This window comes from Homo sapiens, chromosome 20 (assembly GCF_000001405.40).
Source record: "Homo sapiens chromosome 20, GRCh38.p14 Primary Assembly".
Classification (NCBI taxonomy): domain Eukaryota; kingdom Metazoa; phylum Chordata; class Mammalia; order Primates; family Hominidae; genus Homo; species Homo sapiens.
This window is the reverse complement of record NC_000020.11, coordinates 63,578,162-63,591,017: the sequence shown is the minus strand read 5'-3', so window position 1 is coordinate 63,591,017 and position 12,856 is coordinate 63,578,162. Positions and strand designations below refer to the sequence as shown.

General features: G+C 55.2%; 1 protein-coding gene across 6 annotated transcripts in view, besides 7 other annotated features; it reads left to right on the top strand.

The window, feature by feature from the left end:
* The window catches only part of GMEB2 (glucocorticoid modulatory element binding protein 2), a 39,497-nt gene extending 36,084 nt beyond the window's left edge, over nt 1–3,413 (top strand). For all 6 annotated transcript variants that reach the window (NM_012384.5, XM_047440106.1, XM_005260202.5 and 3 more), the window contains one exon: nt 289–3,413. In NM_012384.5, the coding sequence (NP_036516.1) occupies nt 289–929 (641 nt within the window). In that variant the 3' untranslated portion in view covers nt 930–3,413. The remainder of the gene's footprint in view (nt 1–288) is intronic.
* Nucleotides 521–690: an enhancer, noted in NCBI's record as "experimental_61158 CRE fragment used in MPRA reporter constructs". NCBI's record gives its function as "activates a minimal promoter by MPRAs in K562 erythroleukemia cells, with activity observed for both the introgressed and non-introgressed 20:62221766 variant alleles {active_cell/tissue: K562}" and the evidence as "EXISTENCE:reporter gene assay evidence [ECO:0000049][PMID:34662402]".
* Nucleotides 2,608–2,777: an enhancer, noted in NCBI's record as "experimental_61148 CRE fragment used in MPRA reporter constructs". NCBI's record gives its function as "activates a minimal promoter by MPRAs in K562 erythroleukemia cells, with activity observed for the introgressed 20:62219679 variant allele {active_cell/tissue: K562}" and the evidence as "EXISTENCE:reporter gene assay evidence [ECO:0000049][PMID:34662402]".
* Nucleotides 3,371–3,540: an enhancer, noted in NCBI's record as "experimental_61137 CRE fragment used in MPRA reporter constructs". NCBI's record gives its function as "activates a minimal promoter by MPRAs in K562 erythroleukemia cells, with activity observed for the introgressed 20:62218916 or rs13043255 variant allele {active_cell/tissue: K562}" and the evidence as "EXISTENCE:reporter gene assay evidence [ECO:0000049][PMID:34662402]".
* Nucleotide 3,455: a transcriptional cis regulatory region, noted in NCBI's record as "Neanderthal adaptively introgressed variant 20:62218916 (GRCh37/hg19 assembly coordinates) or rs13043255 in the experimental_61137 CRE". NCBI's record gives its function as "modulates activity of the experimental_61137 enhancer by MPRAs in K562 erythroleukemia cells {active_cell/tissue: K562}" and the evidence as "EXISTENCE:reporter gene assay evidence [ECO:0000049][PMID:34662402]".
* Nucleotides 7,424–7,924: an enhancer, noted in NCBI's record as "H3K4me1 hESC enhancer chr20:62214447-62214947 (GRCh37/hg19 assembly coordinates)". NCBI's record gives its function as "activates a minimal SCP1, AML or CMV promoter by ChIP-STARR-seq in primed H9 embryonic stem cells {active_cell/tissue: H9 hESC(primed)}" and the evidence as "EXISTENCE:reporter gene assay evidence [ECO:0000049][PMID:30033119]".
* Nucleotides 7,925–8,425: an enhancer, noted in NCBI's record as "H3K4me1 hESC enhancer chr20:62213946-62214446 (GRCh37/hg19 assembly coordinates)". NCBI's record gives its function as "activates a minimal SCP1, AML or CMV promoter by ChIP-STARR-seq in primed H9 embryonic stem cells {active_cell/tissue: H9 hESC(primed)}" and the evidence as "EXISTENCE:reporter gene assay evidence [ECO:0000049][PMID:30033119]".
* Nucleotides 9,709–9,888: an enhancer, noted in NCBI's record as "active region_18234". NCBI's record gives its function as "activates an Ori minimal core promoter by ATAC-STARR-seq in GM12878 lymphoblastoid cells {active_cell/tissue: GM12878}" and the evidence as "EXISTENCE:reporter gene assay evidence [ECO:0000049][PMID:35858748]".

Genomic DNA, 12,856 nt, shown 5'->3' with positions numbered 1-12,856 from the left:
GAGGGTCTGAGACGGGATTGCCACGCTTGCACACAGGCCCCGGGTCAGTGCAGACCCTGGGTCAGCACAGGCTGGTGTCTACCCCGAGGGCCATCTTGGGCCCCGTCTCCCACAGACCTCACCTTTGGCGGCCATGTGGTCATCTGGGTTTGTGGCATCAGGTGAGCAGACCTGGGTTGCCACTGACCCAGGGGCCACCCAGATGGTGTGGCGTGTCTGCCCCCATCCCCTGCATGCCGCCATCCATGCCCCCGTCCCCTGTGTGATGCCATCTGTACCTCCCTGCAGCCCTGGAGCAGCAGTGTGATGAGCATCGTCGCCGAGCCAAGGAGCTGAAGCACAAGTCCCAGCACCTCAGCAACGTGCTCATGACGCTGACGCCGGTCTCCCTGCCACCGCCTGTGAAGCGGCCCCGGCTTGCACGTGCCACATCAGGACCGGCCGCCATGGCCTCGCAGGTGCTCACCCAGTCTGCCCAGCTGGCGCTTGGCCCGGGCGTGCCCGTCCCCCAGCTGACCAGCGTGCCCCTTGGTAAAGTGGTGTCCACCCTGCCGTCCACCGTCCTGGGCAAGGGTTCCCTTCAGGCGCCCCCCGCCAGCTCCCCGGCCTCCCCGCTGCTCGGGGGATACACAGTCTTGGCCTCTTCCGGCTCCACCTACCCCAGCACAGTGGAGATCCACCCGGACGCGTCCAGCCTCACGGTCCTGAGCACGGCCGCCGTGCAGGACGGTAGCACGGTGTTCAAGGTGGTCAGCCCGCTACAGCTGCTCACGTTGCCTGGCCTGGGCCCCACCCTGCAGAACGTGGCCCAGGCCTCGCCTGGCTCCAGCACAATTGTGACAGTGCCCGCAGGGGCTGCCCCCGGGCCTGAGGAGCACACGGCCACCATTGAGGTGGCTGCCATGGCAGAGGACCACGAGCGGAAGTAGCCGACAGGAGGGCGAGGCCCCTGGGACGGACAGGGCTGGCTGTCTCTCAGCCGCGGCAGCAGGGAGCGGGCAGAGGCCGCAGGGCTGGCTCGGGCAGGTGGGTCACGTGGTCTGCAGAACCAAAGAGAGGAATCGCCAAAACAAATCACGAGAAGAGAGAAGGGGACAGAACAGCGAGAGCAACCTGGAAAATCGGTCTTCAGGTCCCACGTTTCCTCCCCCTTTTTTCTTGGGAAATATATTTTTCCATCTGTTGCTTATTAATACTGTTTACACATTGGGCCTTGATCAGGAGCCAGGTGGGCGGGGGCTAGGGGGAGCCTGGGTGCAGCAGAGACAGAGGAAGCAGAGCCAGGTGCCGAGCGCGACCCTGCAGGTGCTGGACGCGGTGCAGCAGGTCACGAGGCCCCCATGTCTGCACCCAGCCAGGTCCCTGGGGACGTTACTAACTCATGACTTGGGAGCTAAGCCCAAGTGTGAAACCTCTGGATCCTATGGATTTGGTTTCTTCCCACAGTTTTCTGTAGGTTTAGTGTGGCTGGCGCCCCGTTCTCCTCCAGTTGGGAACATGCACCCGGAGCTTGGGGTGCAGATCCTGATGGGTGCCTGCCTCCCCCGCCCCCAGCCGGTGCTCAGGTGGCCCAGGGGCCGCACAGACGAGGCGTGGTCCAGGCATTGTTGCACATGTACTGAGGGTGTTTTTAAGTGAATTGCTTAGTAGGCTTCTAGGAAGAGTCAGATTTATAGCATTTTCAACCAAAATAATGGTGAGTGCCTAGGCTTCCCGAGTTAGCTCTTTGGGTGGCCCCTGAGCCCCTGTGAGTGCACTTGACCGGGTGCGGAGGTCCTGGGCAGCCTGTCCCTGAGCCGGCCCCTCCCAGGGGTCTGAGATCCATGAGGTGTGTCCCTAGGGCTTCAGTCCTGGGGCAGAGGCATAAACAGAACCAGTCACTATGGAGGTCGAGGATTCCCATGTGGGCCCTTCAGCTTGGGCTGCTTGGCCACGGAACAGCCCTTGGCTCCCTGGCCCCCGGCCCCCATGCAGCCCCTGGGCTGGCCCTTGGTGGTCTCTGTCCAAGGGAGAGCCCCTGGGTGTTCAGGAGGCTGCCCCGGGTGGGCTGCTCAGGGCAGCTGCCGAAGGTGGAGCCCAGAGCCTGTCTGGAAGGGCTGTCTGTGGCTGTCCTGAGACCTGGCCTTGGACTCACAAGGAAGACCAGGCTGAGGCCCCTCCAGGCCAGGGTCCTGGGGCAGGCATCTCAGGGAGCAGCCAGCCCAGGCCTCCTGCCGTCTCCAACAGGGCATGTCCCGGGAGGACCCTGAGTGCCAGATTCCCCTGGACGCTCCTGCTGATTCTGTCGGCAGTTGAAGGCCCGTCTGAGGCCCCGCAATGCGAGGGTCCTGTGTCCCACTTCACTGCTCCGAAGGGAACTGGCTGGCTGTCCGTCCAGTGAGCGGCCCAGACCCCACCTCTGCGCCATTGTCACCAGGGCCCTGTCCTGGCTGCCCTCACCCATGTCAAGCTACTGAGGCTGTGTCTTGTTTGTTTTCTCTGTTACATTTTTGTTTGCTGTTGTCACAGTCAGCTGGTTTCGGCGTGATGTTGATCTTTTGATGTACATACTCCGTTTTAAACTCATTTCCACTCTAGTTGAGTTCTGCAGCATGCAGCGGTATGACCCTACGGGGGTCAGGAGAGCCCTGCGGCCCCCACCCACCAGCTCAGAACCTGTCACTAATACAGCTGCCTGTGACCCTGGGACCCGCAACCTTCCAGCTGCTTCCCTTTGTCAAAGTCACGAGTGCGTCTGCCTTGACAGCCCTCGTCAACAGAACTTCCAGTGGGTTGTGGGTTCATTTCCTTTCTTTTTAAGAACAGGGTTGGGACCTTTTCTGCCCCTGCCCCTTAGCTACTGAGGCATAGGGAGAGGAAGTTAATTTCAGAGCCATACAAAAATAAGCCACAACCAGCTTCAGAATTAATTCCCAATCCCCCATTCCACCAGGGCTGGGAGCCCATTCCCAGTGCTTCCCAAGGCCCTCGGGGACATCTACCGCCAACCCAGCTGCTTCTGGCAGGGGCTCCAAGCCCCAGCGTGGGGAAGGGCCCTGGAGAAGCCCTCATCCTCATGGGAACCACACTGCAGTGGGTGGGGAAGGTTGTTGTCAGCACCGCCCCCGGCTCCTCCAGGTCCTGCTGGCTCCTCGGGGGCAGGGTTCCCTGGACCTCCCAGTTCTGCGCCTTGGGGCCAGCCAGTACTCAGAGAGGAGGACCTTCTCAACCACGTACAGAACACGGGTTTTCATGGCTGCCTTTGGTTTGGTTTTCTGAGAAGATAGGATTGGATTGGATTTTGCAGAGGGTGAGAACTTCTCTGTGCCTGCTCAGAGGCGCCCTAGGGAAGGGCCATGTTTGAGTTTTGCTTTGTATGTTGTTTTGCAAGTATCTGCCTGGTACTTTGATTTAAAATAAAAACAATTTTCATAGTTTGAGTGTCTATCTCTTGGAATGAAGTGTGGAGAGAAATCAAGTCTATAAACACGCCCAACGCAAACAGCGCTGGCTGCCACCCCCGCCCCGGACCACTCACACCCACATGCTTCGTTCTTCCAAGTGTGGCCTGGGGGCTTCAGGACCCTTCCAGGGTGTCCCGAGGTCAAAGCTGTTTTCATCACAGCAGGTGCCCTGTGCCCTTGTCCTTCTCTCCCCAGCACGCATCGGAGTTTTCAAGAGGCCTGGTGGGAGGATCATGGCCGTTTTAGTCGTTAGTGCTACTGTAACAAAATACCGCAGGCTGGGGGGCTTGCAAGCAACAGAGGTTCATTTATGCAGTTCTGCACGCTGGCAAGTCGGAGATCAAGAGCATCAGCCGATTTGGTGCCTGGTGAGGGTTTTGAATCAGCCGATTCGGTAACTCGTGAGGGTTTTGAAGGTGTCCTGCAAATCGCTGGAGGACAATAGTAAGAACAGCCTGGGCCCCACCTTGACCCGAGGCTGGCGTCGGAGGCACCGCCGCTCACAGGTAAGGAGACCTCTCAGTGGCACAGGGGCCTGCGCCCGCCAGTCAGGAGCTCAACAGACTCACGCCCAGGGGGGCCCCTTCCTCCCCTCTCCCAGGTTCAGTCCCAGAGCCTTCTCGTCACCAACGCTGTTCCCCTCCCTGCTGCCATGGTCCACCCAAGGCCATAGGAGCCTGCACACCAGCCACAGGCCAGCCTCCCAGACTCACGGCCCAGCAAGAGGCAGACATAGAAGTCCACGCTGTGTGGTCACTGGGTGTGGTGGCTCCCGCCTGTCATCCTAGCACTTTGGGAGGCTGAGGCGGGTGGATCACCTGAGGTCAGGAGCTTGAGACCAGCCTGGCCAACATGGTGAAACCCCATCTCTACTAAAAATACAAAATTAGCTGGGCGTGGTGGCAGGTGCCTGTAATCCCAGCTACTCGGGAGACTGAGGCAGGAGAATCGCTTGAACCTGGGAGGCAGAGGTTGCAGTGAGCCGAGATTGCACCACTGCACTTCAGCCTGGGCGACCAGAGTGAAATTCTGTCTCAAAAAAAAAAAAAGTCCATGCCGCGTGGTTCCACTTAGGAAAGTTGGACACGTCCCTCAAGGCAGAATGGCATCGAAAGCCGGGTCACTGGGTGCCCTCCGGGACGGTGGCTGGAGGGGCACAGGGCGCTGGTTCCAAGAGTCCACTCTGAAACCTGCCCTTCTGCCATGGCTGCTCTTCCACGCTTGTGCCCTGCTGCAGCCCAGAGCTGATAAACGCACAGGCATGTCCTTCCAGCACACATTGGCACGGGACCACCCTCCCCACAGGTCATCTGTCAGCTCCTCAGATTCCATGTGTACAAGACAGAGCTCCTGCTTCATATTCCCTCCCATGCTCTGTCCCCATCGTGCCCCGTCGGGGAGGGGAGCACCAACACCTGCCCACAGGCTCAGCCCACCTTCCTGCAACCTCACATCCACGATGCATCCCCTTCTTGTGAGGCCAGGCCCCCTCCATCTCTCTCAGGTCGATGTAACTACCCGGTTCCCACCTCTGGCCCTTCCTACCCTCCTGCTACCCTTCCGGCTGTGACCCTTCCCATTTGCTGACACGTCCTGAGCACCCCCATCATTCCCTCTGCCCCTGGAGGGGGCTGCACCCCTCAGTATCCCACCATGATATCTCCTCCTCCTGATACTTCATGGGGTTTCAGAGGCCACAAGATACAAACCTACAAGGGGTCATGTCTTGTACCCACTGAGTGTCCCCAGGAGCCGGTGCAGCACTGGCCACTCCTCAGCTGAGGACACAGGAGTGGGGAGTGGGCTGTGGCCTGTCCAGCCCAGGGCACTCCAGAAGGCAGAGTCCCCACAGAGGGTGGAGTGCTTTGTGACATGCCACTGTTTGGATGGGCCACAGTATACCATTCAGCGACTGAGGGACATCTTGGTTTCTTCCAAGGTTTGGCAATTATGAGTAAAGCTGCTGTTAAAAACCCTCGTGCAAGTTTTTGTGTGGACCTAAGCTTTCAACTCATCTGGGTAAATACCAAGGGGTGAAACTGCTAGATTGTGTGGTAAGAATGTATTTCATTTTGTAAGAAACTACTGAAGTGTCTTCCGCCAGTGGCAGCACCATCTCGCATTCCCACCCGCAATGACTGAGATTCCTGTTGCTCCACGTCCTCACCTGCAATGACTGAGATTCCTGTTGCTCCACGTCCTCACCTGCAATGACTGAGGTTCCTGTTCCTCTACGTCCTCACCTGCAATGACTGAGGTTCCTGTTCCTCTACGTCCTCACCTGCAATGACTGAGGTTCCTGCTCCACGTCCTCACCTGCAATGACTGAGGTTCCTGCTCCACGTCCTCACCTGCAATGACTGAGGTTCCTGCTCCACGTCCTCACCTGCAATGACTGAGGTTCCTGCTCCACGTCCTCACCTGCAATGACTGAGGTTCCTGTTCCACGTCCTCACCAGCATTTGGCGTTGTCAGCGTTTTGGGTTTGGGACATTCTTTATTTTTATTTTTATTTTTTTCAAGATTGAGTCTCACTCTGCCGCCCAGGCTAGAGTGCAGTGGCACCATCTCCGCTCACTGCAACTTCCAGTCCCCGGGTTCAAGTGATTCTCCTGCCTCATCCTCCCAAGTAGCTGGGATTACGGTCGCATGCCACCACGCATGGCTAATTTTTGTATTTTTAGTAGAGACTGGATTTCGCCATGTGGCCAGGCTGGTCTTGAACTTCTGACCACAGGTGGTCCACCTGCCTCGGCCTCCCAAAGTGCTGGGATTACAGATGTGAGCCACCACGCCTCGCCCGGCTAATTTTTTTAAAAAGTGTTCATGGAGGCCGGTTGTGGTGGCTCACGCCTGTAATCCCAGCACTTTAGGAGGCTGAGGCGGGCGGATCACGAGGTCAGATCGAGACCATCCTGGCTAACACGGTGAAACCCCATCTCTACTAAAAATACAAAAAATTAGCCAGGCGTGGTTGCAGGCGCCTGTGGTCCCAGCTGCTCAGGAGGCTGAGGCAGGAGAATGGTGTGAAACCGGGGAGGCAGAGATTGCAGTGAGCCGAGATTACGCCACCGCACTCCAGCCTGGGCGACAGAGCGAGACTCCTTCTAAAAAAAAAAAAAAAATTCGTGGAGACAGGGTCTCACTCTGTTGCCCAGGCTGGTCTCGAACTCCTGGACTCAACGCAATCCTCCAGCCTCGGCCTCCCAAAGCATTGGGATTACAGGCGTGAGCCACTGCGCCTGGCCCTGGCACATTCTCACAGGTGTATGATGGTAACTCACTGTTTGGGTTTGCAGATTTCCTAATGATGTGTGATGGGAAGCACCCTTTCACAAGCTGCTGCTTTGCCTTCTCTCTGTCTCTGGTGAGGTGACTCTTCAGATCTTTTGTCTGTTTAAAAAATCGGGTTGTTCATTATTGTTGAGTTTTAAGAGTTCTTTTCATATTTTGGATAATGATCCCTTATTAGACATGTTTGTTTCTGTTTTTGAGACAGTCTTGCTCTTGTCACCCAGGCTGGAGTACAGTGGTGCGACCTCTGCTCAGTGCAACCTCTTGTTTCCCAGGTTCAAGCGATTCTCCTTCCTCAGTCCCCCGAGTAGCTGGGATTAAAGGCTTGAGCCACCATGCCTGGCTAAGTTTTTGTATTTTTAGTAGAGATGGGGTTTTGCCATGTTGCCCAGGCTGGCCTTGAACTCCTGAGCTCAGGCAATCTGCCTGCCTTGGCCTCCCAAAGTGCTGGGATTACAGGCATGAGCCACCGTGCCCGGCCTATTTTATTTATTTATTTTTGAGACGGAGTCTTGCTCTGTCATCCAGGCTGGAGTGCAGTGGCGCGATCTCAGCTCACTGCAACCTCTGCCTCCTGGGTTCAAGCAATTCTCCTGCCTCAACCTCCCGAGTAGAGTAGCTGGGACTACAGGCACGCACCACCATGTCTGGCTAATTTTTGTATTTTTAGTAGAGATGGGGTTTCACCATGTTGGCCAGGCTGGTCTTGAACTCCTGCCCTCAAGTGATCCGCCCACCTCAGCCTCTCAAAGTGCTGGGATGACAGGCCACTGCGCCCAGCCTTGGATGAGTTTTAAGCAATACAGACACATGTACCTGCTGCCTGCACCAGGCAGAGGACACTCCCCTTGTTCCCTTCTCTAGTCGGGCCTGTCCTCACAGTCACTGACCTGGTTTTTAGAATTCGTCTGTTCCTGAGCTTCATAGAAACGGAACCGCACATTTAATACTCGTCTGTGTTTGGCCTCTTTCACTGAACTGTTTCTGAGATTCCTCCATGCTTCTGTGTGGGTCGGACGTGTTCGGTTTTGGTTTTGTCTGAGTAGTGTTGTGTCGTACAGACGTTCCACGGTTTGTTTATTCAGCCGCCTGGTGATACGCATTGGAGCTGTTTTCAGTCTGGGGCTGCTGGGAATGGGGCTGCTGTGAACCGGCGGGTGTCTCTGTGTGGGCGTCAGCACGCTGGCCCCAGCAGGAGGGGCTCCCTGGCCCAGGCGTTGTGAAGAATGAAGATCCTTTTTTCATTTCTCTTGGGTAGATTTGCAGGAGTCGAACTGCTGGATCCTGAGACAGATGTTCATTTAACTGTATCGGAAATGACCGAGCTGTTTTCCAAGGTGGCTGTGCCGTCTTGTATCCCCACCAGCACCAACGGGAGCGGTGGCTGCTCCGCACCCTCCGCGGCACGAGCCGTCCTCACTCTGGACGCAGTCGGTCTGCCCGTGTGAGGTGGTTTCTCGCTGGGTCCCATTTGCGTGTCCCAGTGACTGGATGGTAAGCACCTTCTCACGTGCTTTTGGTCATTTGTATATGTTCTTGTGTGGAGTGTCTGTTCAAATATTTTGTTTGTTTTTAAAAACTGGACTTTTGAGTTTTGAGATTAAAAAAAATCTGCCTTCTAGGAGTGGTGGCTCACCCCTGTAGTCCCAACACTTTGGGAGGCCGAGGCAGGAGGATCACTTGAGGCCAGGAGTTCAAGATCAGCCTGGGCAACATAGTGAGACCCCATCTCTACAAAAAATTTTAAAATTAGCTGAGGGTGTTGGTGCATGCCTGGAGTCCCAGCTACTTGGGACGCTGAGGTCGGAGGATTGTCTGAGCCCGGAGTTCAAGGCTGCAGTGAGCTGTGATCACACCTCTGCGCTCCAGCCTGGGCAATAGAGCAAGACCGTCTCAAAGCATAATAATAATAACAAAGATAAAAACATTTTCAGTTTGCATATAGTTCATCAGATATGTGTATTTTGAATATTTTTGTCTCAACTAATAGCTTGACTTTTCATTTTTCTCACTGGTACAGACATTTTTTACTTATATAACCTTGTTTATCAATTTTTTTCTCTTATATTTCTACCTTTTATGTCTTTTTAAAGAAATATATGCCGGCTGGGTGCGGTAGCTCACGCCTGTAGTCCCAGCACTTTGGGAGGCCTAGGCGGGTGGATCACGAGGTCAGGGTCAGGAGACCAAGACCATCCTGGCTAACATGGTGAAACCCCGTCTCTACTAAAAATACAAAAAATCAGCTGGGCGTGGTGGTGGGCGCCTGTAGTCCCAGCTACTCGGGAGGCTGAGGCAGGAGAATGGCATCAACCCGGGAGGCAGAGCTTGCAGTGAGCCAAAATCACGCCACTGCACTCCAGCCTGGGCGACAGAGCAAGACTGTCTCAAAAAAAAAAAAAAGAAAAGAAAAGAAAAAAATATATGCCTATCCCAAGGTTGTGAAGATTTCTCCTGTTTTCTTCTAGAAGCGTTACAGTTTAGCTTTGATGCTTAGATGTTCCATCTTGAATTAAATTTTGTGTGCAATGCGAGGTGGGGCTGAGCTTCGTTTTTCCCGAAACTTTACTCCGTGTTCCAGCTGCCACTTGTTGAAGACTGTCCTTTCCCCGCCTCAGGCCCTTCGGGGACCAACAGACCGCAGACCTGGGTCTGACCCAGGCTCCCTTCTGTCCTGTCTTGTCTCTCCCGACATCTGCAGTAACGTTCTGGACTTGAACTTCTGGGCGTCAGGAGCAAGCCACATTCCTGTATGTCCAGGGAGAAGAGGGGAGACCGGAAGGCTGGGTGGAAAGGCCCAGGTTTTGGCTCCCTCCTCCAGGGCAGCCAGGCTGGGCACAGCTGCCCCACGGGGCGCACAGGCACCTGGCTCTGTGTCAACCAGATGCCCAGAGCAGCCCCAGGGCAGGCCCACACCCACTCCAGACCCCAACATCTCCAGCCCCAGCAGGAGTGTGGCCCCTCCCCCTGTCATCCCGGAGAGGCGGCCACATGGCAGAGGGACACTGGGGGCCAGTGAGGACTAGGAAGGTCCCTGCCAGGAGACCTCAGGGATATCTGATCAAGCCTCAAGCTTTGGGGGTGCTGTGGGGGCAAGCAGAGAAAGGCACAGCCCCTGGCCAGGCTCTCTGTTGCCCCTGGGAGGCCTTTTAGATCCTGCAACACCTACCCCATGCCTCCTGCTCAGGGCCTGGCCTGAGGGCTCCAGCAGGCTTCAGTGTGGGGGAGAGGTGAGCAGGGGCTGAGAAGGTGGCTCATCACCTCTAATGATGTCAGAAAACTAGGCTGTTTCTCCTGCACTCTCACAGCACAGCTCACTGCTGACACCAGGTGGGGGTTCTGTTCCAACAACAGATTAGTCAGTTTTGCAGCCGACGCCGGCTGGGCGTGCTCCAGTTTAATTCCGATACCATCTACCTGAAGACACCATCTACCTAGAGACGTCTACTTGGAGCCATTGTCTGCTGCCCTGTGCCGTCCGCTATCACCCGAACCCTGCGGGAAAACCCACACACCCTCCCCAGCATCACAGTGCAGGTGGAGGTCCCCAGGGCTTAGGGCCAGGCCTCAGTTTACCTGTGACTGTGGGCCATGTGCTCTCGGGCAGGAACTGACGGCCTCTGGGTATAACTCACTTAAGCAGGTCTTTAACACCCAGTTCCCATCTTTCCAGAGACCCTCCCGGGCGCCCTCCCACCAGCCAAAAGCTCACACCTTGAGTGGAGGAGGTGATAGGGTCTGCAGTGGGAGGGATTCCAGATCAACCTGGAGACATTGTCCACCCATAGACACCATCATCTACCTGGAGACATTGTTGTCAACCTGGAGACACCATCAATTCATAGACATTGTTGTCAACCTGGAGACATTATTGTTAACCTGGAGACACCATCAATTCATAGACATTGTTGTCAACCTGGAGACACCATCAATTTATAGACATTGTTGTTAACCTGGAGACATTGTTGTCAACCTGGAGACACCATCAATTCATAGACGTTGTTGTCTACCTGGAGACATTATTGTTAACCTGGAGACACCATCTATTCATAGGCATTGTTGTCAACCTGGAGACACCGTCTATTCATAGACATTGTTGTTAACCTGGAAACATTGTTGTCAACCTGGAGACACCATCAATTCATAGACATTGTTGTCTACCTGGAGACACCGTCTTTTCATAGACATTGTTGTTAACCTGGAGACATTGTTGTCTACCTGGAGACACTGTTGTCAACCTGGAGACACCATCAATTCATAGACATTGTTGTCAACCTGGAGACACCATCAATTCATAGACATTGTTGTCTACCTGGAGACATTGTTGTTAACCTGGAGACATTGTTGTTAACCTGGAGACACCGTCAATTCATAGACGTTGTTGTCTACCTGGAGACACCATCTAGCTGGAGACGCCATCTGTCCTTAGACATCCTCATCTACCTGGAGATGTCCACACAAGGCTGCTGCCCACTCCCCATGCCAATCTCAAGCCCCGGGTGCTTCAGACCAATTGGCTATAAATTGAGGTTCCTAACCCCCATATTTGGGTCAGATTAATTTCCTAGAGCAGCTCACAGAACTCAGGGAAACATGTTTACCCATTTATTATAAAGGACGTTACAAAGGACGCAGATGAAGAGATGCGTAAGGGGAGGGGCGCAGAGCTTTCACCCCACAAGGGCACCCCGTCCAGGAACCTCCACGGCTCTCTGAGCCCTGTCCTTTTGCGACTTCATGGAGGCTTCATTACCCAGGCATGATTGATTACGTCACTGGCCACTGGTGAGGACCGCCTTCAGCCGCCTCTCCCCTCCCCTGCCTGGAGGTTGGGGCAAGGCTGCAAGTACCACCCTCTACTCCTGCTGAGGCCTTTCTGAGGACCAGCCCCATCCTGAGGCTGCCTCCAGGCTGCCAGCCTTCGGTCAATATCAGCACAAAAAGGCACTTGCCACTTTGGCTACTCCAGGGATTTTAGGGGTTTTTGCCAGGAAACGGGACGAGACCAAATATGTTAATGTATATTTCACAATGTCACACGCACATGGCTGTGTGTGCAGAGGCCAGGCAGGGAGAGAGGACAGAGCAGCTGGGAGGCCCCGGGGGGCGTAGACCCATCCTGGGACTAAACCCCCATCAGATCCTTCTGGCACCCCTGCAAGGAGAAGGTGTGGTCCCCCTGACTTTCTCCCCAGGGGCTCATCTCGAAGGAGGCCTCCCGGCTGCACGGCTCCCACAAGGCCAAGAGGAGGAGATCTGAAATCGGCTCCACTCCCTCCCACTGCAGACCCTATCACCTCCTCCACTAGGGGTGTGAGCTTTTGGCTGGTGGGAGGGCGCCCGGGAGGGTCTCTGGAAAGATGGGAACCGGGTGTTAAAGACCTGCTTAAGCGAGTTATACCCAGAGGCCGTCAGTTCCTGCCCGAGAGCACATGGCCCACAGTCACAGGTAAACTGAGGCCTGGCCCTAAGCCCTGGGGACCTCCACCTGCTTCGTGACGCTGGGGACAGTGTGTACGTTTTCCTGCAGGGTTCAGGTGATGGCAGACGGCAGAGGGCAGCAGACGGCAGGCTGGCACTGGGGGGCCATGGAACCCACTGGCAGGGACGCTGGGTGAGGAGGACCTAGGGACCGGGATGAGACAAGCTGAGGGTGTTGGGCAGACATTTCTTACTTTGTATTTTGATATAATAATTTAAACAAACGTACACAAATGTTGCAAAAATAGAACAAAGGACTCCCTGTGCTCTATGCGGACTCACCAGTCGCTTTGTTCTGGCCCATTTGCCGGTTCTGTAGAAGCCTGTAGTTCCAGGCAATTGAGACTAAGACACGATACCCCTTCACCTTTCAGATACGATACCCCTTCACCCTTCACCCTTCACCCTTTACCCCATCACTTCAAGGTGTGTTTCCTCAGAACGTGGAAGCTGTCTGTTACAAAGTCAGGAAGCTGACGTGGATACAATAATATTACTAATACTCAGCCCGTGTGAGCGTGTTGTTGGCCGTGTGCTGTGTGTACGTGGAACTCTCTCCCGTGGTCTCACACTCAGCCCGTGTGAGCGTGTTGTTGGCCGTGTGCTGTGTGTACGTGGAACTCTGTCCCGTGGTCTCA